The sequence below is a fragment of the Homo sapiens genome, chromosome 18 (genome assembly GCF_000001405.40).
Source record: "Homo sapiens chromosome 18, GRCh38.p14 Primary Assembly".
In the NCBI taxonomy this organism is placed as follows: Eukaryota; Metazoa; Chordata; class Mammalia; order Primates; family Hominidae; genus Homo; species Homo sapiens.
The window spans coordinates 14,908,552-14,933,824 of NC_000018.10; the positions used below are offsets into that span (position 1 = coordinate 14,908,552).

Here is a 25,273-nt window from a genome sequence, read left to right on the forward strand (position 1 = left end):
CCTCCCCTAACCCTCTCGCTCTGACCTCACCATCATCCATGTGTTCGTGTGCTTTACTTTCTAATCTGTGAGGTCTTTGAGGGCAGGGTCTGTGTCCTTTTAGTGTCTGTGTCTTTAGCTCCCGTGTGGAGCCCAGCTCAGAGCAGGTGTTCTGATGCTGCCTGGCTGAGTGACTGAGTGAATGAGAGTGCTGGAGGGGCCAATGCTGGGAGAGAATTGCTGGATTCCAGGCCTCGGGACACAGCAGCTTCCAGGGCTCCTGAGGGCCCTCCCCTGTGGTATGGGAGGATGTGGAGCTGGCTTGCAAATATCCACAGGAATATTGCATTTCAATGACGTCCTTGATCCTGGGGAAAAGCTATCTATCCTGTTGTCAGGACTCACTGCCACTAGTCCTGCCACCATAGATGGACAATGGCCAAGAAGGGCTGGGTCTCTCTGGAAGGAGACAGGGAAGCTGTCGGAGGATGTGCTGTCTCTGAGTGCAGAGCCAGCCTTTGTCGTCTGATGGGACTTGACTGACAAAGTCTGCACCTGTCTTCTTTCTGCCAAAGCCATCAGGAGGGGCTGCATAGGAGGCAGTGGAGGGGTTTTGTCTGGGACACAGGACATCTGAGCCAACCTTTTCTGGGCTTCTGTCACCATGTCTGTAAATTGACAGGGCTGAACTCTGTGCTTGTTAAGGGTGTCCCTGTTTGAAGTTCCTGTGCTCCCCAGTGTCCTAGGTGGAGGGAAGAGTCCCAGTGTGGGGAAGGCAGTGACAATGAGGGTGATGTTTGTCGGACACTTGCAGCATACCTGACACTGCTGAACAGTCAATATTGTTTAATCCTCACCACGATCTAATAAGGAAGGCGCTATTTGTTGTTGTTGTTAGACAGTGTCTTGCTCTGTGGCTCAGGCTGGAGTGCAGTGGTGTGATCTCATCTCACTACAACCTCCGCCTCCCGGATTCAAGTGATTCTTCCCCCTCAGCCTCCCAAATAGCTGGGGTTACAGGCGCGCACCACCATTCTAGCTATTTTTTTGTATTTTTAGTACAGATGGAGTTTCACCATGTTGGCCAGGCTGGTCTCAAACTCCTGGCCTCAGGTGATCCACATGCTTGGCCTCCCAAAGTGCTGAGATTACAGGCATGAGTCACTGCGCCTGACTGGAAGGCACTATTTTTAATCACTATTTTACAGATGAATTCTCTTAATTTTGCAAAGTTATGTATATTATTCAAAGTTGTATTTCTAGAAGTGGTGGCTGGGTAGGATTTGTATTTCAGGGTTGTTAGACTGCAAAGCACACAATACTAGCATCTACTTTGTGGTTTCCAGCAGGTCAAGCAGTACCTGAGAGCACTGAGGAGCACCTGGACCCAGTAACTTCTCTAAATCTAGTGTGGGGGAAGATGCGCCCCTGCCATGGAGCCATGTTCTATGGCAGGCAACCACTGGTCAATAAAAAAAAATCAGATGATGTCAAGTGTATATCTAATTGACATTAAAATACACATTTGAAAATTTGGAAATCCTTTTTTAAATAAAATTTTTAAATTTCATTTTTAATATATTTAGGGAGTCTAAGTACAGGATTCTTCCATGCATATATTGCAGAGTGGTGAAGTCTAGGCCTACAGTGTACTCATCACCTGAACTGTAACCCAAAGGCTGTTTTTGTTCCTCACCCCTCTGCCACCCTCCCACCTTTTGTAGTCTCCGAAGTCTATTATTCCATCTGTATGTCTATGTGTACTCACTGTTCAGCTCCCACTCATACATGAGAACATGTGGCATTTGACTTTTCTCCTTCTGAATTACTTCACTGAGGATAATGGCCTCCAGTTTCATCTACGTTCCTAAAAAGACATGATTTTTCATTTTTTTATGGCTAAGTAGTGTTACATAATATATATGTGTGATACATATATATACACAATGTAAAAATATATATATATATATATAAAATTTCTTTATCCAGCCCTCCATTGATGGACATGTAGGTTGATTCCACATTTTTGCTATTGGGAATAGCGCTTCCATAAACATACAAGAGCAAGTTTTTTTTTGATATAATAAATTATTTCCCTATGAGTGTATTCCCAATAGTGGGATTGCTGAATCAAATTGTGGTTCTATTTTTAGTTATTTGAGAAATCTCCATTCTCTTTTTCATAGAAGTTGTACTAATTTACATTCCCACCAACAGTGTATAAGTGTTCTCTTTTCCCTGCATCCTAGCCAACATCTATTGTTTTTAGGCTTTTTAGTAATAGCCATTCTGATTGGTGTAAGATGGTATCTTATTGTGGTTTCCATTTGCATTTCTCTAATGATTAGTGATGTTCAGCATTCTTTCGTGTTTCTTGGCAACTTGTATGTCTTCCTTTGAAAAATGTCTGTTCATGTCCTTTCCCACTTTTTGGTGGGTTTGTTTTTTTATTCTCATTGAACTGTTTGAGTTTCTTTTAGATTCTGGATATTGGCCCTTTGACTGATAGTTTGCAAATATTTTTTTCCATTCTGTAGGTTGTCTGTTTACTCCATCGATTATTTATTTTGCTGTGCAGAAGCTTTTTAGTTTAATTAAGTTTCATTTGTCTATTTTTGGTTTTGTTGCACTTGCTTTTGAGGACTTAGTCATACATTTTTTTTTGCCAAGGCCAACATCCAAAAGAGTTTTTCCTAGATTTTCTTCTAAGAGTTTTATGTTTTCAGGTTTTACCTTTAGGTCTTTAGTCCATCTTTAGTTGATTATTATATATGGTGAGAGGTAAGGGTACAGTCTCTCCCTTCTGCATAGGGCAATCCAATTTTACCAGAACAATTGAGTGAATACAGTGTCTTTTCTCCAGTGTATATGTATTTTTGACTTTGTCAAAGATAATTTGATTGTATATATGTGGCATTATTTCTGGGTTTGCTATTCTGTTTCATTGGTCTATGGGTCTATTTTTATACCATTACCATGTTGTCTTGGTTATTGCAGCTTTGGAATAGAATTTGAAGTCAGGTAATGTGATGCCTCCTCCTTTGTTCTTTGTGCACATGATTGCTTTGGATATTCAGGCTCTTTTTTGGTTTCATATGGCTTCAAGATTGTTTTTTCCAATTCTATGAAAAATGATGTTAGTAATTTAATAGGAATTAAATTGTACTTCTGGGTTGCTTTGGGCTGTATGGTCACTTTAACAATATTAATTCTTCCAATCCATGAGCATGGGAAGTTTTTCCATTTGTTTGTGTGATCAATATTTCTTTCATCAGTGTTTTGTAATTCTCCTAATAGGGATATTTCACTTCTTTGCTTACATTTATTTCTAGGTATTTTATGTTTAAAGATATTGTAAATGGGATTGCCTTCTCAATTCGGTCCTCTGCTAGACTGTTACTGGTATATACAAATTTTACTGAATTATGTACATTAATTTTGTATTATGAAATGTTACAGAATTCATTTATCAAATCTAAGAGTTTATTGGTGGAGTCCTTTAGAGTTTTCTACATATAGATCATATTATCAGTGAATAGGAATAACTTGGCTTCCTCTTTTCTAGTTTGAATGTCTTTTGATTTATTTTGTCTTATTCCTCTGGCAAGGACATTCAGTACTATGTTGAGTAAGAGTGATCAAAGTGGGCATCCTTGTTTTGCTTCAGTTCTTAGAGGAAACGCTTTCAACTACTGCCTGTTAAGTAGGATGTTGGCTGTGGGTTTGTTGTATATGACCTTTATTATGATGAGCTGTATTCCTTCTATGCCTAGTTTTTTTGAGGATTTTTATCATGAAAGAATGCTGAATTTTATTGAAGTATTTTTGTGTCTATTGAGATAATCATATAGTTTTTGTTCTTAATTCTGCTTATGTGATGCATCTTATTTATTGACTCATGTATGTTGGACTATCCTTGCATCCCTGAGATAAATCCCACCTGATCATGGTGTATTATCTTTTTGATGTGCTCTTGGATTCAATATGCTAGTGTTTTTGTTGAGCATGTTGTGTCTGTGTTCATCAGAGATATTGGTATGTAGTGTTCTTCTTTTGTTGTGTCCTTACCTAGTTTAAGTATCAGAGTGATACTGGCCTTGTAGAAAGAAGTAGGAAGAATTCTCTCCTCCTTGATTTTTTAGAACAATTTCAGAAAGATTGGTATTAGTTCTTCGTGTGTTTGGTATAATTAAGCTGTGAGCCCATCTGGCCCTGGGTTTCTACTTCTTGGGAGATTTTTATTAGTGATTCCATAAAATTACTCATCATTGTTCTGTTTTGGATTTCTACTTGCCTGGTCTGATCTCAGGATGTTGTGTGAAAACTTAAAAATCTACAATCCAAGCTTGTGTGATGCATGAAAGAAAAGCAAAATATTGAGCTGAGTGCTGGGAGTTTTGTGTACTGGTTTGTTTTTATTTTCTTCAGCTGTTATCCAAATGTTTGCAATTATGCAATTGCTGGGTCCAAGCTTCTGGGCTTACAGGTTTCCTGTCTGTGACTGACCCAGCATGAGATGAGCAGAGAAGGACCCATTTTATCAGTGCATTTTCTTGGCCACATTGCAGGCTCTTTTGGCAGAGGCCAGATTTCCTGCACATCCATGTGGAATCTGTGGCCCTTTAATGCACTATTTAGACTAAGTACCAATTGAAGCTTTCAGTGAGCTCAGTGCTGGCAGCCTACAGCCTTTTAGTTACCCAGGGTTAGCTATTAAATAAAGGATTGCTGCCGAAGTGCCATGCTGACAACCATTCACAGCAGCTGGCCAGTCCCTGTCCTGCCCAGCCATCTGTGCACCTAAGGGCCAGAGAACATGGACAAGCTACCCAGAAGGAGGCTGGTTTGGGGAGAATTGTATCTACAGAAGAGGGAATTTTATGAATTTCCAATATCAGGCTGCAACTTCAGGGAATTATTTTTCTGGGTATTCAAATATATTAAGATAATTTATTATAACTTCATACTATATATGAACAATTCACACTCTCTTTTAGGATGTAATCTTCATCAGGACAGGATCTGCGCTATTCAAGAGCAATATTTGACATCAGTTAGAGGCTTATTACGTGGCAAGCCCTTACAAAATGCCATATACATATACACACCTTCCCAAACCCTGAGAACTATTTGTATCAACATTTCATAGTTTTTAACAATGACTGTAAAGAAGTCATGGGCCTGTCTGGGGTCACTCTGATGGTAAGTGATGGGGTGAGGGTTTGTCCAAGGTCCCTTGGACCCCAGATCCTCTGGGATGTGTTTCCCATGTGGTTTACTCTCCCTCTCACAGTGTCCTGTTGGTAAAAGTAAAAATTAACATCTATACAGTGTTTACTATGAGTTGGATGCTGTCCTGTGTGTTTTGTATAAATTACCTTAATTAATCTTTACAAAAGTCTTAATGAGGAATGTGCTGTTAATTTTGTTCCTGTTTTATAGGTGAGAAAATTGAGGTATAAACGGGGTAATTTGTCCAAAGTACTGCAGCTTGTGTCAGAGACGGGAGTTGAGCCAGAAAACCTAGTACCAGAGACCATCCTCATAACTTCCCTGCTGTCACAGCTCTTCAAGGATGTTAAGAATGTCCATGATGCTGATATTTTAGCATAAAAACAGGTTGATTGGTCTGGAAATTCACATGGCAATTATTAACATTGATAATCTTTCTCTGTTCCTCCATGTTTATAAGCAGACTTGCCACACAGATTTAAATAAAGGTGCTTTGTTCCATGGCCTAGCTGATTTTAGATTCCTGAGTTATGAGTAAGTTACCTCTGGGAGGCTCACAGGCTTTGAGTATTGGAGTCTTTTGATTTGTGTGGGGATCCACTGCTCCTGCTACTGACTAGGTAGCCTGCTTTAACTGTTATTGAGCTTTATTGAGCTGAGGGTCAGATTTTTTCAAAGACCAGAGAGCTCTGGGAACAGGGCCCTTGCTCCTGGACAGTGAAGATAACTGATGGAAAGATTGTCTGTTAGACCAAATAGACAGCACTTTCAGAAATTCTGGAAGGGTATGATGGCTGTTTGGGCAAGAATTGTGGTGGAGACAGAGAGAAACGCATAAATATAAGGATTGTTTAATAAGAACTTCATAATGAATTGAATTATGGGGTGAGGGGAAATGAGGAAGTAAGGGTGTTGAGTTTCTAGCTTTTGTTACTAGATGAAAGGTCATTTATTTTAATTTGTTAGGAAACAGTACAGAAAGTGGACTAGTTTCAGAATGAGAGAAGGAAGATCATAAACTCTATTGGGGGGTTGTCGTGTTTTAGGTCTCTTGAAACATCCAGGAAGATAAACCAAGGAGGCCATTGGACATAGGGGTCTGAAGCTCAGAAGAGAGGTCTGGACGAGAGACAACATTAGTGTGTCATCCACATATGGTGGTGATAGGATCCACAGGCTTGTATGACATACTCTAGGAAAAATGTTGAGTGAGAAGAAAAGCAGGCTTAGGATCCAGTTTTGAAGGGTCCCAAAATAGCATGGTCAGGTAGAGAAGAATGAGCCTACGAAGTAAATAGCAGCAGTGATCATCCCATTCCTGTCTCTAGGGGTCAGCTGATCTCCATGCTCCCCCCACTATTTCCATCAAGGTTAGCACTGAGTAGACATGGAATTAGGCAGTGAGCTGAGCCTCTTCAATTAGAATGAGGCAAGTAAGAGAGCAAACAGCAGCAGACAGGGGGCCTGATGTGAAAGAGGAGCCTTGGTAATTTGTGTCTGAAGGTCACTAGACTATCCTACCAATGTGGTTGTTTTTTCTGTCCAGAAAAAGACACTGCACCTCTCTTCTCCTTCTAGAAAATGGTTCTTCCTCCACCACTCTAACAAGGTAGCTGGAGTAAAAATAGGCATATTCTGTTTGATTTGTTTCCACAGCAAGTCCTTGACCCAACCTAGACCAGGTAGAGACCTTCTGGGGTTATCTTATCTTTTAACATGAGCCTTATGAGGACCCATTGCTGTTCCCCTCAGGGCCTAGTATGAGGTGAGTGCCTAGGCATTGCCATGTAGACGCTGTCTGAGAGATGAAGGTCATTCTCCAAGGAGCAGAGAAAATGAGTATCGTCCTCATCAACCAAGCTACTGGGTCAAGTCACTCTTGAGACTCAAGGGTCAAGTCACTCCTGAGACTCAACTGTATTCCAAACTTTTGTGCAGATTGATTACTTACAATAAATGCTGTTTTTTATCTTAATACTCCTTGTGTTAGATTTCAAGCACATATACTTCAAAATGTCCTGATACGTAGATATAGTAGGCCCTCTGCATCCACAGGTTCTACATCCACAAGTCAAAAGTATTCAGAAAAGCAATAAAATATAACAATAAAAATTATTCGAATAAAAAACATGGTATAACAACTATTTACATAGCATTTGTGTTGTATTAGGTATTAGAAGTAGTCTAGAAATGACTTAAAGTTTTTGGAAGAACGTGTGAAGGTTATCTGCAAACACTACACCATTTTATATTAGAAATCTAAGCATCTGTAGATTTTGGTATCTGGAGATTCTTGGAATCAATGCCTATGGATACAGAAGAATGGCTGTATGTGCTGAGTAAATGGTTATGCTCTTGGCTGATGGTGCTGCTGTGGGCCTCAGCCAACCCTGATGGTGATTGTAAAGTGCCTAAAGGGGGTGAGCACTGGTTCCCAGGAGGCCACCAACAGTTCTGGGCTGCAGGTATCCTCTCCAGGAAGTGTGATCTGCCCTGGGATGGGTGGCAGGAATCCCGTCAGGGAGGGGGCAGATGTGTGTAGTTCTCCTGTGAATGGCCACAGGTTATGTTTTGTGAATCTGCATCTGGGATCTGGAGGTCCCATTGTCTCTTACCAAGTACTGAGCCTTGAGGAGGATACCACTTTACAGAATAGGCTGAGTTCTGTTGAATCATTGGAGTAAATTGCTCAAGTCACTCAAATGGAGGGAGAGAGGGAGATGCCTCCAGCTGGAAGAAGAGCAGATTCACAGCCAGGGGCTTCTCTCTAACCCTGTATTCCCCACTAGGAGCTGTACCATGCACACTGGGAAGCAGAAAATGACAGAGAGAGTGTATGTGTGTGGTGGGTGGGGGAGGTTGTGATATAAAAGCAGAGTGATCTAGAACAAAACTTCTTACTAAATTAATTTTTCTATTAATTATCTGAGCTTGCTGCAAACTGAGTTATGCAAACGCAGTTGATCTAATCAATATGTAATGTGAAGGCCAACAAGAATGATAGCTAACATGCATTTTATTGCCGACCCTGGGTGTTACTTGACCCTGGCTCCTATTTCCTTAATGTTCTTAATGATCCTGCAAAGTGAGCACTGTCATTCCCACTTGGTAGTTGGAAACACAGGCTCAGAGGAGCCAGTGACTTGGCTAAAGTCCCCACAGGAAAGAGGCAGAACCAGGACTTACTTAAATGTCGGTCATCAGTCTCTAAATCCAGAAATTCAACTGTTTCCACGCTGGCCACCAACTCAGCCGGGGGCTGCTCTGAGCTGAGAGACACACAGAGGATATGAGGTGACCATGTGAAGCCAGCCACCTCTCTGCCAGCTGACACTCTGTCCTCAGGCTTCAGCTGGACTCCCTCCCCCTGGCTGCGTCCTCCGGCCCCAGTGCCTACTGCAGGCTATTATGCATGTCATTCTCCGTCTTCTGTGCAGCTATTTCTTCTATTTTTCCCTTTTCTCTAACTGAAATACTTGTGTTTTTGGTCTTTCTCTCTCCCTGCTTTCCCACAATTTCCCCAACATGCACAGAAACTTCTTAATTGTTCTCTTTCCTTTCTCATTGCCTTTCTCTCTTTTCCCCACTGTGTGTTCCCTCTGTTATCATTTTCCTGTACCCTCACCTTCCTCTTCCATCTTTCCCTTCCTGTCTATCTGCGCTTCTCTTTCTCTGTGTCCTCAGTCCCAGGTTTCACCCTTCCCTGCCTGCAGACACGGGGTCTGGCCATGCAATCACCCTGGACACCAGCCATTTAGGCAGGTCCTCAAGGAGTCACCAGACTGTCCTGGTTGGTAAATCAGGTGGGGGAGAAAAGGGAGAGGGATTTATTCAGAGTCAAGTTTGAGCAGTTTCACACATCAGAATCCCTCAGTGCTTTGGCCCAGGCCTGCTGTACACCCTGAACAGCAGGCGTACACATGTGGGGCCATGTAACTAATGTTCCTCAGGGATGAGACCTGGCACAGCATGAGTGTGCTCAGGGCCTGCTCTTCACAGTTCTGCCAAGGCTCCTGCCAGTACACTTGTAAGCAAAAGAAAAGCTGATCCTGTTTAGGAACTCCTGGCCCATCTGGGCTCAGATTTATTGGTGTTTATTTGGAACAATTGCATGATCACCTTCTTCTCCCCCAGGGCGATGAGCAAGGTGTTCTTGTAAAAAGAAAGCCAGATGTTCTTCTTTGGCTAATTTTGCTGGGGAAGTCTCCAAGGAATGAGGTGGGAATTGAAGACACGTCTTATCTGAAGAACTAGAAAACTTCTAATCCCTGGCACCTGTAAGAAAGCCCAGCAAGAAGAAAGCGGGGTGTGGATGAGAAGGGTAGGGGAAGGACTCCCGTACTCAGGCATGGCATAAAGATGAGACAGCAATCACTTGACAAGGCTGGTTTACTTTAGTTCCCTTCCCCAGACTTTATTATTTCTTGCCTGGAAGACTCAGCAGTTTTGTTTTTCCTCCTACTAGCCCTTAGATATATGATAATTCTCCTGAGACATGCTCAGGTATTCTCCTGAGGCATAAGCTTGTAAGGGTTGCTGCACCCCTTGGAACTGGGATGTCAGCAATACATCTATTTAGATTTTGGTTTAATTTTAAAATCTTTACTCTGCCAGAAATATTAGTAATAGCAGTAAAATTAATGTAGGAGCGTATTAATATCTTATAGGACATGAAAACCTTTTCTTATGCCCCACAGAAGAATAGGCATAAGAGTGAATTCAAAGCTGTTAGGACAGGCTCCCCGACTCCAGGCACAGAAGGCCAAATAGGCCCTCCCCATGAGATATCCCAATATCCAGGCTCTAGGGATGTATGTCTTCCTGAGGCCACTGGAAGTCACAATGAAGGCACCCAGGGAATGCAGTGGAGGACAACATCAGGCCCCTCATCAAGAAAAAAACTGTAAATATACAGGAACTGGGAACCAAGATTTATCAATGCAGTGAAGACTATGGTCTCATGATTGCTTGAAAGTAAACAACCTATTATTTATTTCCTAAGGTCTGAATGTTTGTGACCCATTCAAAATTCCTAATTTGAAACCCAACCCCCTAGTGCGATAGTGTTGGGAGGTGGGGCCTTTATGAGGTAGCTAAGTCATGAGGACAGAGCTATCATGTGTGGGTTAATGTTGTTATGAAAAGAGCTCACAGAAGTAAGTGCTCACAGAAATTAGTTCACTGACTTGCCATTCCAGCTTCTGCCATGTGATGACACAGCAAGAAAGCCCTCACCGGATGCTGATACTTTGATCTTGGACTTCCCAGCCTCCAGAACTGTGAGAGAACAACCTTGTGTTTATTAGAAATTACTCGGTTCCAGGTATCCTGTGAGAGCTGCATAAAATGCACTAGGTCACCATCCCATTTTGAAATTGAGACAGTTTCATTGCCCACTAGGTTATAAGGGATTAGGGCAAGGACTTGCTAGTGTTCTTCAAAGCACCTCAGATATAAGGAGGGCCAAAATGTTTCTTGAAACACACATTGTAAAATGTCAGCAATGCTGGCTCTATTTCCTTCACCCGCATTTGGTAGGCCTGACAGGACTCAGAAGCCAGCAGCCATCCTGGAGGTGAAGGTGTAGCTCTTTTGACTGCCCTCTCCCAAACCAAGAACCAGTACCTTGGGGCCCTGCAGCTCTCCCTGCTCTGGGCTGCTCTTGATTCCCTCTGCCACATCCCAGGTAAGGATCATAAGCAGAGGTGTGAGCCTGCAGTGATTTAAGGTGGGAGGAGCTCCCATGAGGGACAAGAGATGCTTGTCCAGGGCTCCAGCATGTAGGCACCAAGTCAGCTGGCCCACAATCACACTCTAAATGACAGGTACCCCAGCCCTGGTCCCATGGGGAACTGAAGTGTTTTCACTAACTGCCATGTCCGTTGTAAAATCAAGGAGGGGAAAAAAGTTTCTAACATGATGAACATATGCTTTTTATTTGTCAGGAAAAACTCTTAGTTATAAAAAGGTTTTCTGCCCACTGGCCCCACCCTGCTGGCCAGGTGACTTTGATACCCAACTTACTTTTCTGTATGAAGAGTGCCACATAGCTCCTAAATCAACCCTGGTAAATGTTTAAAAACGTTCTGCACCTGGACTTAGGCCAAGCTGGGGCAGAAGTGGGGGCTAGAACAGGGCTTGCAGGTCAAAGTCCAGGCTTCTGTGCTGGTAGTGGCTCTGGGGAAGGCCCCAAGAGGCTGCTTTCCTGCACAGGCCTCTGAACTGTGCCTCATCCACAGGCTCAGCCACTTGATGTGGGAAGTTTTCCCCAGGAAGGCAAATCAGCTGAGGCCCAAGGAAAGAGAGGGTCAGTAAACAAGGCACTGAACCACTGTCCTTGGTGTGTTGTGGTCAGTGGATGGAGTGGGGAGTACAGGCTGACCATGTTGCCCCTTCCAGGACCCTCCTTGTTCATTCATTTATTCGTTCATTCATTTGAACATGTTGTAGGTACTGGGTGTTGTGTGAAGCACTGGTTCTATAGAACATGCTCACTGAAACTTGTACATCTAAGCTTGGCTTCTTGACGCTCAACTGACTCACTTTGACTTTGGCTTTCTCACAAATTCCTCTAAGCCTATTTCTGTAACTCTGAAAAGTATTTAACTGCACCCTGTAACTTGGAAGGCTTAATTAAGGTAATGAGTGTCACCATAGTGACTAGTGTCACCATAGAGTCACTATAGTGTCTAGAAAGACACACCATAGTGTCTAGAAAGGGCTAAACAAAAGTTAAAGACTATCAGAATTCCCCAGTCTTAGGGATCTTGTAGCTTCCTGGGGCTATAGCACAAAAGAAAAAAATGAGTGACAGCAGCCAAAGTCTGGGTGTCCCTGGATTTCCCAGACTCCATTTTAAGAAGCAATCTGAAATTAGTGTTTTGACTTCCCAAGGTCCTGCCTGATCCTAAGACATTCTCCAGGCTGAAAGTGTAGTAGGGTGGGATCCCCTGCAATGCACACCACTTGTCCTCTTCAGGTGGTTTTTGCAAGCCTGCCCCACCATGGGAACTCCTTCGTCAGTGGGGCCTATCTTGTGGGTGCTTTTTGTGGAAAACATTTTGTGTTGATGTTTGAAATAATTGACAAGTTACCAAGTGCAAGTGCATGTAAGATTGGCTGAGAGCATTTACATGTCACACATATAGATACACTTATTTTTATGTCTCTGTCTCAGAGCATTTTACAATGTTGTGTGATTGCTGATTAGGGAAACTTGACATTCTTGGCTCTGTGGACAAAGAAAATGTTTTTACTTTTATCAAGGTCTTTGTCTGGAAAGAGCATAATAAGGGGGAAGAAAGGTGGAGCCCAGTAATGAGGAAGTGATCAGGTGGCAGGTGTAATTGTCAAAGGGAATCAGCAGTGGTGGAGAGGGCAGGAGGCAAATGAGGGACGTGTTTAGATACAACTGCCTGTTGTGGTGGGTGGAGAGGGCAGGAGACACATGAGGCATGTGTTTAGATACAACTGCCTGTTGTGGTGGGTGTAGAGGGCAGGAGACACATGAGGCGCATGTTTAGATACAACTGCCTGTTGTGGTGCAACCAGCAGAGGTGGAGAGGGCAGGAGACAAATGAGGTGCGTGTTTAGATATAATTGCCTGTTGTGGTGGGTGGAGAGGGCAGGAGACAAATGAGGCGCGTGTTTAGATATAATTGCCTGTTGTGGTGCAACCAGGCTTCTGTGAGCAGGAGACACAACCCAAGGTGTCACGAGGCCCCACCCTGTCTGCTGCCCCTGTTTTCCTCACACATACACTGAGATCCTCAGTGAGGGTAGAATCTATGTAGTAAAAAGGGAAAAAAAAATCATAGAATAGCCTTCTAAACCAAGCACTATGAAAAAATACTAGACAAAGCAAAAATGAACAAGACAGCTCCTGTGTAAAGGAAGTTCTAAAACCAATGGGAAAGTGGACAAGTACACAGAGAGTTGGCAGGTAAGGCTGTTTATAATGCAAACAGAGGCATGGTAGTATTTCAGAGATGGGCAGGGTGTCTAGAATGTGACCAGAGCTGCCGGCTCTGCCTATTTCTCACCACGTGGCCTTAGGCAATTGGCGGTTCTCAGTAGTATTGTTTTCCGATGCATAAATTGTGGATAAGGGAAAAAGGGGAGACAGAGCAAGAGGGTCAAAAAGAAGCCTCCACCAATGGTCCTCCCTGCCAGACACCAAATTTAACAACTATCTATACACACAAACAAAAACAAACAAAAAAATCCTTCATTAGAACCAAGAATCAGGTGAGCAATCAAAGTACATCCTTTTAACTTCATATGACTGAAAGAGGCATTGAAGAGGGTAGGAAAGACAGTCTTAAATTGCCAACACCATCCCTTCCTCATCTTCTGGCAGGAGGAGAATTTGTTTGTTGGAGGAGAGAGAGAGTGGAGATTGGGGACTTTGCATTGGAACTCAGTGCTGCCCTGTCACAGTGGAGAGCAACACTGGGCAGAACTCAGCCAACACCCACAGAGGGAGCATTTACACCAGCCCTAGCCAGAGGGGTATCTCCCATCCCAGTGGTTAAAAGTTGAGTTTCTGCAAGCTTCACACCATGGGCTAAAGTGCTCTGGGGCACTACATAAACTTGAAAGTCTAGGTCACGGCTGGGCGTGGTGGCTCATGCCTGTAATCCTAGCACTTTGGGAGGCCGAGGCAGGTGGATCAAGAGGTCAGGAGATTGAGATCATCCTGGCTAACACGGTGAAACCCCATCTCTACTAAAAATACAAAAAATTAGCCGGGCGTGGTGGCAGATGCCTGTACTCCCAGCTACTCAGGAGGCTGAGGCAGGAGAATGGAGTGAACCTGGGAGGCAGAGCTTGCAGTGAGCCAAGATCGCGCCACCGCACTCCAGCCTGGGTGACAGAGTGAGACTCCGTCTCAAAAAAAAAAAAAAAAAGAAAAGAAAAGAAAGTCTAGGTCACAAGGACTGAAATTCCTAGGCAAGTCTTAGTGCTGCGCTGTGCTCAGAACTGGTGGATAAGAGGGACACAGGACATAGAAAGACACCAGCCCAGGTGGTAAGGGAGTGCTTGCACCACTCCTTGTAAAAGCCGAGGCAGATCAGCTCACAGCAACAAAAGTGACTCCTTCATTTCGCTTGACAAGGGTAGAGGAAAGAGGAAAGAAGACTTGGTTTTGCATCTTGGAAACCAGCTCAGCCACAGTAGAATAGGACACTGGGCAGAGTCACCAGGCCCTACTTCCTGGAATACGTATCTAGACACATCCTGGGCCAGGAAAAAACCTGCTGCCTTGAAGGGAAGAGCTCAGTCTTGGCAGGATTCATCACCTGCCGAATAAAGAGTCCACAGGCCCTGAAGAACCAGCAGCAATACCCAGGTAGTAGACTGTGGGCCTTGGGTGAGACTGAAATGTGCTGGTTTCAGTAACCAGCTCAGCCACACTGGGGTAGACCACCAAATGGGCTCTTCAGGTCTCTGATTTCAGGCCTTGGCTCTTGGATGGCATTTGTGGGCCTGCCCGGGGTCAAAGGGAGCTCACTGCCCTGAAGGGTGAGTCCTAGGCCTGGCAGCATTCATACAAGCTGACTGAAGGGCCCTTGGGTTCTAAGTGAACATTGGCAGTGGCCTGGCAGTACTCCCTGTGTGCCTGTGGTGGTGACCATGAGGAGAGGCTTCACTGCCTGTGGAAAGAGGAGAGAAGAGTGAGAAGGACCTTTTTTTGTGGTTTGGGTGCCAGCTCAGCTGCAGTAGAATGGACCACCAAGAACATTTGTAAGGTTTCCGACTCCAGGCCCTGTCTCCTGGATGGCATCTCTGGACCTTCCTGGGTCCTGGAAGAACTCACCACCCTGAAGGGAAGGACAGAAGCCTGGCTGGCTTTGCAACCTGCTAATTCCTAGGGCCTTGAGTGAAAATAGCAACAAGGTACCCAAGTAGGGTTAAAATGGGCTGTGGGTAAGACCCAGTGATGTGCTGGCTTCAGATCAACATTGGTGGTCTTGGATAAGATCTGCAAGAAGTATCTGGATTAACAGGCAGAGAATCTTGTTCTCTTTCCTTACTTTCTTCCAAACAGTCTCTCTCTGTGTGTTGAGCTGTCTAAAGCTGGGAGAGGGGTGACACCAGTAGTATCCTTCTGGACACCAGTACTGGGACTGTACTGAGTCACATCTGAAGACACTATATCACCTGTGGTGCTGGGATACCCCTTCCCATACAGCTTAGATCTCATGGCTTGTTCTTAGTTTCCAAACTCTCCATGTACTCTGTGCTTATATGTCTCATCTTCTCACCTAGATTGTCCCAGCATCACAACGTAGTGCATGATCCATCACCAAGTGTCCCATACACTGGTCATGTCACCTCTGACACTTGCTTAATTACTCTGAATCTCTCTTTCCTTGAAATAAAGAGAAAAGAAACCATCCTTCTCACCTTACCAAACTGTTGTTAGAAATAAAATGAACAGTAGAACTGTGGTATTTTAGCATTGAAAGAAAACTCAATAATATCCAATCACTCAATTTCCAAGTGGTGAAACAGGATTCTGGGAAGTTCACAGAGTTCCTTTCCCTGGCTACGGAGCTAGCAATGATAACTAATACTATCTTAAACTTACTGTAGCTATATGTAGATGGTGATTCACTTATGGGGCATTTTTACATAACCAACTAATTGAATCATTGTTCATTTACAAATAAGCACGTGCTCCATGCCCGGCCTGTGCTAGGCAGAGGGGTAAAGAAGATCCACACCAAGCTCCATCCTCTCAGAGTTGTGGCATCTCAAGGGGGACTGTCATGAGGAACTGGCATGAGGCCCTAATACAAGAGTGAGAGATACAGCAGAGCCGGGGAGCACACAGCAGGGGCTGGGGCCAGGGAAGCCTCAGACAGACGAGGTCCATGAGGGCCCTGGGCTACAGACAGGAGACTTTTAGGTGAGATCACAACCAAACTGAAATGTAACTTTGGTTTTCAACCCCAGTGTCGGGGCTGTCTCTGCATCAGTGTCATGCAAACTAAACACAGAGGGATCGGGGGAAGATTCCTGGTGTTCCCCAGGCTGAGAGGGCTCAGACCTTGAAATGACTCTGGGAAGGGAGGTAGCTCAGTGCAGTGGTTAGGACACAGATGGGGCTGGACTGCTCAGGCCCATGTCCTGGCTAACCACTTTCCAGCTGTGTGACATAGACAATTGCAACAACCTTGCTGTGCCTTGCTTTCTCATCTGCAAATGGGTAGAACAGGGCAGTTATGAGCACTGAATGGGGCAGAATTTCCAAAGGCTTAGACCATGGCCTGGTATGTAGCCCATGCAGTGAGAGTACTGGATAATGAGCCCTTGTTCCCCCATCAGTGGGACAGGAGTGGCTGTTTCATGCCAGAGTTGACATCGACATTTTGGGGAAGAAAGTGGAATCTGAGTGGAGGGTCAGAGGAAGTGCTGGGTTTGGATAGAGGCTGAGGAAGGGAGAGGACAGCTGTGTCAGGAGGAGTGGAGACATGGGAAGCACTGAGCTGGCCTGAACTTCTGACAAGAGAGCCAGGGGCTGAGCTCTGCACTGCCATCTTGCCCCTGGCTGTGGGGACCAGGGGCCCTGGCACACTTCCCATTGGGGGTTCTTTCCTCTTGGGCTTGATGTGCTGTTCAGATGCAGCAGGAGCTGTCCGGAAATGTCCAGCTCCTTTCCTCACATTCGGCTCTGGGAGAGTGGCCTGCCAGAGAATGTCCATGGAGACTTATCTACAGCCTGGGGTTTTGGTTTTGGTTTTGGTTTCTAACTTATTTTAACTTCCAGATGGAAAGTGTTATTTTGCCAGATGGTAGCAGGCTAGGTTTTGTGGGCAAGGCCCACAGGGTTGTGGCCAGCTCTGAGGGAAGAGTGTATTCGGCCCTGGCCTGGCTGTCATATTGAGAAGCTGACAGTGTTTCCAGGCTGCTCACAGCCCAGATGGTGGGCTGTGCTGGCTGCCCTGGAGGCTGGGGCTCCCAGGTGTCTCAGTGCAGGAATCAGAGCTCCACCTTGCTGAGCTCACACAGCGCCTGGAGCCAGGCCCCGGACCCAGAGGCCCGAGGGAGAGATTGAAGAGGAGCCTGGAACTGACCAAAAGAAGGAGGGCACCTGACCCTGTAAGGGGAGCAGGCTCGCAGCTGAAGACCCTGGAGAAGCAGCTGCCACAGAGGGGGCGTTTGCACCCACCTGTCCTGTGCTCACAAAAGGTGACTTTGTGAAGTGTACTTATAAATTTTGGGTTTTCAGATAAAAAAAAATGACAACATTTTTAAAAGTCAAAAGATATTAAGAATTTGAAGATAAACCTCAATTGCATTCCTCATGCCTACCAGCGGCAGAGTTAGCCCAACACGGCAGCGAGGAAGACCACATTTTGGTGATCTCTGCGGCAGTTGGAGTCCCGGTTTCCTGAAGGTGTAATTACCTATGAGCCCAGGAGGGGTAAAAAGGTCCAGCAAATAGAGGAGGCAATGTTCCTACTAATCGGCTCACCTGCATTTTGCCAGAAAATAAGCCATCTACAAAAATGTGACATGAAAAGAACAAGAAATGTGATGACAAGCACCAGAATAATGGCCAGGCCAGAAGCAGGTCATCTCCTCCCTCAGAACTGGCTCCAGCCTGGGATTTGCCCACTCTGCTCAGCTGGCTCCTGCTTGGGGAGGACTCCCTTGATGACCTGTGTGGGCAGCTCTCGTGGGGCATCCCAGCCAGGATTCCACACATTGTCAAGGTGAGACAGGGCCCTGGGTCCTCTGCTGTGGCACAGGTGTGGACCCAGCAAGCTTTGTGTGGATGGGCAAATTTATAAAGCTGGACAAGGTAATATTTGAATTTTTTAAGTAACTTACAAATATTTTAAATTTTAACATTTTATATTTGTTACATAAAATGAGACATAAAAATTAGAAGCATAAAAATCAACTTTGGGAGGCCATGGTGGGAGGATCACTTGAGCCCAAGAGTCTGAGACCAGCCTGGGCAAAATACTAGGACCCCATCTCTACAAAAATTAAAAAACAAATTAGTCAGGGTAGTGGCGCGAGCCTATAGTCTTAGCTGCTTGGAAGGTTGAGGTGAGAGGATTTCTTGAGCCCAGGAGTTGGAGGCTGGAATGAAAGAAAAGTACAAAGCACTGTCTATGTGTATTCCCATTTGTGAGCAAGGGTTGTGTGTGTGTGTGTGTGTGTGTGTATGTGTGTGTACTCTCTTTATAGAGACTATCTCTGAGAGGAAATACAAGTAATTGGTAGTAGTAGTTGGTCTAATTTTTGTTTCTTCTTCTCTTTTTTTTTCCTATAAGAATGGATTTTTACAATAAGAAGTACTCAATTTAAAAACTGTATGTTATTTAAAGTAAGTAATTTAAAAATTTATGTGCATAGGCAGAGGAAATTAGGCAAATGCTAACAACTAGGGAATTTAGGTAAAGGCACAAATTACCTTTGTACAATTATTGCAAATTTTTAGAAAATCTAAAATTATTTTAAAATTATAAAAAATACCCACTAATTCCATAATCAGTTCTTTTAAACTCCGAACTCAGGGCCTACACAATTTTCCATACCCCACCTAGCTCACATGCCCTATGTGCAGATGACCTAATACTGTTGACCCTCAGTTTCCTCATTTCAAAATTCAGAATGATGGTAATATTAAGCCTGTAGGGTTGCATCCTGCACATACTGAGCATTCAATGCATCTTACTGTGCCCTTCTTTCCTTAATCTCTTCCAACACCTTCCTAACCAGCTAAACCATGGACAGCACAGGAGGCCAGGAGGCCAAAGCACTTTGTGATTCTGTAAAGAGGAAGCCAAAATTGCAGATGAAGCAAAGCCTATTATCTTTGGTGTTAAATCCACAGAGAACATATCTGGATTTGGTCACCTCCTCCTCCTGTGCTTTAAGATATTAAATATTTTGCTGTCAAGAAGCAATTCCCCATAAACTCCAAAGTTCCTGGCTCTAACAATTCTAAACCTTGGGCTACAGATGAGAATTTTGAGCTAACTTAGTAGCTATCTCAAATATATGCAGCTTTTGATGCCAAGAGTCTTATACCAGCTATGTCCAGCCCCAGTAAGAAATGAACCAACAGAAGCATTTGTTCTGCAGATGTAGGCTCCACCACACGTGTGGAATTTAGGAGCTCTGTGGTGATTAAGTTTAGACTTAGGAATGAACAACTGGGTGAAACAAGACCGTGTGTGATGGTAATTTTTTTTTTTTTAGTGGAGTCTCACTCTTGTTGCCCAGGCTGGAGTGCAATGGTGCTATCTCAGCTCACTGCAACTTCTCTCTCCTAGGTTCAAGCGATTCTCCTGCCTCAGCTTCCTGAGTAGCTGGGATTACAGGCACCTGCCACCATGCCTGGCTAATTTTTGTATTTTTAGTAGAGACAGAGTTTCAGCATGCTGGCCAGGCTGGTCTCTAACTCCCGACCTCAGGCGATCTGCCTGCCTCGGCGTCCCAAAGTGCTGGGATTACAGGCGCGAGTCACCACGCCTGGCCATGTGATGTTAATTTTATGTGTCAGCCTCATTGGGCCATAGGGTGCCCAAAACAGATATTTAGTTAAACATATTTCTGGATGAATCTGTGAGGATGTTTCTGGATGATAGAAGCATTTGAACTGGTAGGCCGAATGACGAAGATTGCCTTTCCCGATGTGGCTTGGAATCACCCAATCAGCTGATGGCCTCAACAGAAAGAACAAAGTGGTGGAGGAAGGAGAACACATTTTCTCTGTCAGATGGCCCGAGTAGGGACATTGGTCTTCCCCTGCCCTCAGGCCAGAAGTTCACTATCAGCGATCCTGTTCTCCGGCCTTGGAACTGGAACTGGAACTTGTACCACTGGTTATTCTGGTTCACAGGGCTACCACTGGTCTCCTGAGTCTCCAGATTGCAGATGGAAGACTGTGAGACTTTTCAGTCTCTATAATCCTCAACCTTTCCCTCTGCCTCTCCCTCCTCTATTGGTACTGTTTCTGGAGAACCCTGACTAATATGTTAATCATGTTCTGTCAAATTTTGGTGATATATTTTTCTTAAATCTGTCTCATTGACTATTCTCAAAATCTGCCGAGTGGGGCCATTCATTGTTTCTCAGCTGAAGGACTGCAGTCACTTTTAGGTACTTCCCTACCTTTGGTCATGCGTCTCTATTCTTCATCCTTTACACAGCTGCCATTCCAGTCTTTCTAAACTAGAACTATTCCTCTGATTAAAAATGAAACAAAGCTTATTGTGACTGTAATGAAATCTGTGTACTGGACTTCTGTTGGCTCTGTGGTTCTCAGCAGCCTACCAGAACACAGAGCTTTCCAAACTCAGCCCTGGGCACATCTGTTCCTTCATCCAGGCTTTCCACCCTGCGTGGCTCTCACCCTTGTGTGTCCGTCCTTGTTTCTTAGAGGAGTCGTGTGCCTCCAAATGCATATGCCTACGACCTTTTCTTTCTCTTGCCTGAAATGCCAAACTTCATTCTCCATCAGGTGAATTCCAACTCACCCCTGAAGATGAGCTCAACTGTCTCTCTTGTGTGAAGCCTTCCCTGACACCCCTGAGAATTTTCCATCCACGTCACCACAGAGTAATGTCCATCCTCCTGTAGAACCATTCACTCATCACAGGTCTGGATGCCCATTGTTCATAGGAGGTCTTCCCCACTAGACTTCAAAGCTTCAGTGATAGGCGCTTGTGTCCCTGGCCTACACGAGGCCCTTATTCCCACTGCTCTTTTTTGAAAAAATAATAGTTTCTTCAGGCCTATATAAGCTCAAAGAGATCCCAGAGGACAATGAGTCCAATTTTTTTACTTTCCAGAATAGGATACTGGGATATTTTAATTCATGGAATTATTCTAGCATCAAACTTTACATAATAAGTATTCGTTGAGGACTTGGAGTGTACCTGTTTCTAGGTTCTAGGGAAACAGGATTGACTATGACGGGCAAAGTTACTGCCCCATGGAGTTCACCATTTGGGGATTGGTGGGTGGATAACAACGGCAACTACAAGATATGTGCATGCATGTGTGTGTGTATGTGTGTGTGCATTTCATATAGTGCTAGGTGTAATAGATAAACGAAGGTGGTGACTGGGGAAATGATCCAGGAGAAATCTCTGAGGAAATGACATTTCATCTCACAGGGTAATGAGGAAAATGAGGCAGCCAGATGGAGTCCCAGCAAAAGCAGACTTCAGGCAGAAGGAACGGCAAGTCCAGGGCTCTGGATGAGTAAGTGGCTTCCCTCACAGGTAGATGGGAAGGGGTCATGTGAGGATACTTCAGCCATGTTAGATGAATGTATTGCCTTAAGAACATCCTGAGATAAAGGGTGGCATATGCAGGTGTGTGGCTCAGGTGAGTGAATAGGGGGAAGAAGCAGGACACTGGCTCGCCAGGTGGGTTCCTCCAGAAGGCAGGCTGCATCTGCCAGGGTCCATCCCAGGCCAGTCCCTGAGAGGCTGGGCCGACAGAGAAGGATGGTGACCTGGGCCTGGATTGTCAGTGAGGCCTTCCTTGAGTGAAATATACACTAAATGGTCTCAGAAGGCCGCACAAGGGCAGGGCAGTGAGTTTCTGGGAGGAAGGTGGGTGGTGGGTGGGGTGCAGAGCCTGGGGCAGAGGGACTCCTCTGAAGTTAAATTAATGCAACTGACCCACCCCTCAAATGATTTCAGGCCATGGTCTTCTCTGATGAGGACTCCATCCCTGTAAGAAAACTAAAGAGCTGGAGAGTGGAGAGGAAGGAGAGTGTGGGATGTGAATTCTAAGCTATCAAAGAGGTTCTGCTTCCTCTAAGGCCATGGACGCTGGGTGTGCTATGGGGTAGACACACCACACTCCTATTGTCCAGCCACCTATTATACCTTCCACACCCAGGAAGTGCTGAGGCCCTTCCTGGAGTCTCCCCAACCCACACAACTGAAACAGCATGGGGTGTCCACAGGCCCTATCCACTAGGATGGCTCCTTCCCCAGCACGGTGGCTGAGCTTCCTGAGAATGATGCATCCTCGTGGCTCTGCTGGTCCTCACAGATCTCCAGGTAGAAGCTCATTGTAGAATAGCATTTGCCTTGAATGCTCTGATAATTTTCTGCTAACCTAGTTGTGGCTAATTAAAGTCAGGAGTTTGGTGCTGGCCTCACTTTGGTGCTTGGAAAACTGGGGACATTGTACTCAGCAGAGAAGTCATTGGAAATACAGACTTGCCAGTCCTACCACAGAAGATGATGATTTAGTAGAGTTATGCTGGCCCAGCAATCAGCATTTACAGAAGCATTCCTGGAGATTCCGTGATTGTGCTGCGAGGTGGCATTTGGCAGCCCTGCACCCAGAGCCCTGAAGCTCTCTTCAGCAGTAATGACCTGCCAGGCTACTGTCTTTAGTGACAGGGGATGCTACGAAGAGTGTGCATCACCCAAATGACAGCTCACCATTGACTCTTAAGATGGAAGAGACTTTAGAGGCTCTTTAGTCCAAACCTCTCATTTTTCAAATGAGGCAGAAGTGTCCTAGAGTGGAAATGTGACTTACCCAAGGTCACACACCAGAGACTAAAAATTCTAGAACAAGGACGAGTATTTTGATCTCCAGTGATCTGGAAAACTCTGCATGTCAAACACCCATTTCTGTTCCCAGCATCTGGTAACCCCTTAATTCCTGGTCACCTCCACCCCTCCTCAATGCCCAGACTTTCCGTCACATGGAAACCCACTAGGCTTTTGACCTCACATGCTGTTTCAGCAGGCATCCCCCTGTGCTGACCTTAGCTCTAGCAGTGTAAGGCGGAGCTGCCCTCCCTGAACTGACAGAGGAGGCTACAGTGTGTTGTGTGGGTGTGGGAGGCTCCAGGAAGGGCCTCAGTGCTCCCTGCGCATGGAACATAAAATAGGCAGCTGGACAACAGGAGTGTGGTGTGTGCCCCACAGCGCACACAGCATCCATGGCCTTAGGCGAAGTACAGCCCCTTTTGATAGCTCAGAATTCACGTTCCACACCCTCCCTCCTCTCTCAATCCAGCTCCTCAGTTTTCTTACAGGGATGGAGTCCTGAACAGAGAAGACTCTGGCCTGAAACCATTTGAGGGCAGAGCAGTGGCATTAGTTCAACTTCAGAGGAGGCCCTCTGTCCCAGGCCCCCCACCCCACCTCCCTCCTGCTCTGTCCCGGGCCCCCCACCCCACCTCCCTCCTCCTTCCTCCCTCCTGTACTGTCCCAGGCCCCCCACCCCACCTCCCACCTCCCTCCTGCTCTGTCCCAGGCGCCCCACCCCACCTCCCTCCTGCACACTCACTGCCCTGCCCTTGTGGGGCTTCTGAGATATTTAGCACATATTTTCTTCAGGGTACATTTCACTGATAGAATTCAGGCCCAGGTCACCATCCTTCTCTGTCGGCCCAGCCTCCCAGCCCCTTGTGCCTCATCCCAGACCTGGGAGGTGGGGTGGGGGGCTCCTGCCTGGCGTCAGGTCTGAGTCCTGCTCCTGAAGGCTGTGGCAGTGGCCTCCAGGGCTGCCTTTGGCCCAGGGAGCTGGAGAACAGTGGGTTCCTCTCCCCTATCTCTATCTTTTTGTTGTTGTTGTTGTTTTTGAGACGGAGTCTCACTCTGTCGCCCAGGCTGGAGTGGCGTGGCGCGATCTCGGCTCACTGCAAGCTCCGCCTCCCGGGTTCACGACATTCTCCTCCCTCAGCCTCCCGAGTAGCTGGGACTACAGGCGCCCGCCACCGCGCCCGGCTAACTTTTTTTGTATTTTTAGTAGAGACGGGGTTTCACCGTGTTAGCCAGGATGTTTTTGATCTCCAGACCTCGTGATCCGCCCGCTTCCCCCTCCCAAAGTGCTGGGATTACAGGCATGAGCCACCGCGCCGGCCTCCCCTATCTCTATCTTAATGAATATTTTGTCCTGGGTATGTTCTGGGACCCAAGTCCATTCTCCCTGTAGCCCCTGCTCCCCAGTCCTGAAGACCCTCTCAGGCTCTTCCCACTTTGCACTGCCAGAAGCCCCTGTGGGCTCACAGCTCTTGCCCTCTTCTCTCTTAAGTGCACCAGCATTCAAGCTCCTCCCTGGGCTGCTGGGAGGACAGATTGCTTCATAAATTCTTAAGAACGTATTTGGAACTAACAGCTTAATCATTATAATGCATTATTCAATCAACCAACAGTGTTTTTTGGAGGGAAAAAAATACACCATGAAATATATCTTCATTTTAAGTACATCTGTTGTTTCTTGAAAGCCATCAGCTGTCAGTGAATCATCAATTTTGTTTCGTTGTGTGGCTAAGACTATTTGTTCTAATTAAAGACCATGCACGAATCTAAACAAATTTGCCTTATCTGTAAAAATGGAACTTTCAGTCCTGCTAAGCGTGACAATCCTAAATGTGCTGGAGAAGCAATTTTCTCCAGGTCTTACCAGGTGCATCTGTGGGGAGTGGGGGAATGACAGTGGGGCTGTAGCCTCCTCTGCATGCAGGGTCCAGCCCACCAGGACCACTAACCAGGTGCCTGTGTCCCACCCTCCTTCCCCAGCCTGATGCAGCTCTGACCTCCTAGAGAGGAGGCTGCAGAGAGAGCCCCGGCAGCTCCTGTCCTGTTCTGCAGTGCAGGCCATCAAGGGGACAGCAGCAGGCCCGGGGGTGGGTGCCTTGGGTTCTGGGCCAGGTGGGAGCTGGGCCTGCAGAGAGCAAGGGGCAGGAAATTGGGGCCAGGTGGGAGCTGGGACTGCAGGGAGCAAGGGCCAGGAAATCGGGACTGGGTGGGAGCTGCATGGAGCAAGGGCCAGGAAGGAGGTGGATCCCGGGACCAGGATTCTTCCCTAGAGATGCAGGCTCAGCTGAGGCTTCCTCTCCTGGGCTCCAGGTGCAGACAGGGAGGGGCAGTGCTGGGAGATATGCGTGCAAGCGGGTGTGCTTGAAGGGCAGGAAAGGAAAGGGGTTAGGGACTGGCATTAATCAGTGGCCACTACGTGGGGAGAGGTGTTTGACTCAGAGGAGGTGAACTCGGAGGGAAGGCGCATTGAGACCTGAGGCATTTATGACTTTGCAACTACGTCAAGTGCA

At 45.8% G+C, this 25,273-nt stretch overlaps 1 protein-coding gene and 1 long non-coding RNA gene across 2 annotated transcripts in view; one reads left to right on the plus strand and one right to left on the minus strand.

Moving 5' to 3' along the window:
• ANKRD30B (ankyrin repeat domain 30B) overlaps positions 1 to 25,273 on the plus strand; it is a 192,964-nt gene that overhangs the window by 160,380 nt on the left and 7,311 nt on the right. Inside the window, exon 48 of the transcript XR_007066151.1 lies at positions 21,360 to 21,447. The gene's annotated coding sequence lies outside the window, so the exon portion shown is untranslated. The remainder of the gene's footprint in view (positions 1 to 21,359; positions 21,448 to 25,273) is intronic.
• LOC105372010 (uncharacterized) lies at positions 1,807 to 8,913 on the minus strand. The gene is made up of 3 exons (XR_935187.1): positions 8,837 to 8,913; positions 8,398 to 8,480; positions 1,807 to 1,846 (listed from the first exon to the last, which is right to left on the minus strand). It is a non-coding gene; the product is annotated as an uncharacterized LOC105372010 (long non-coding RNA).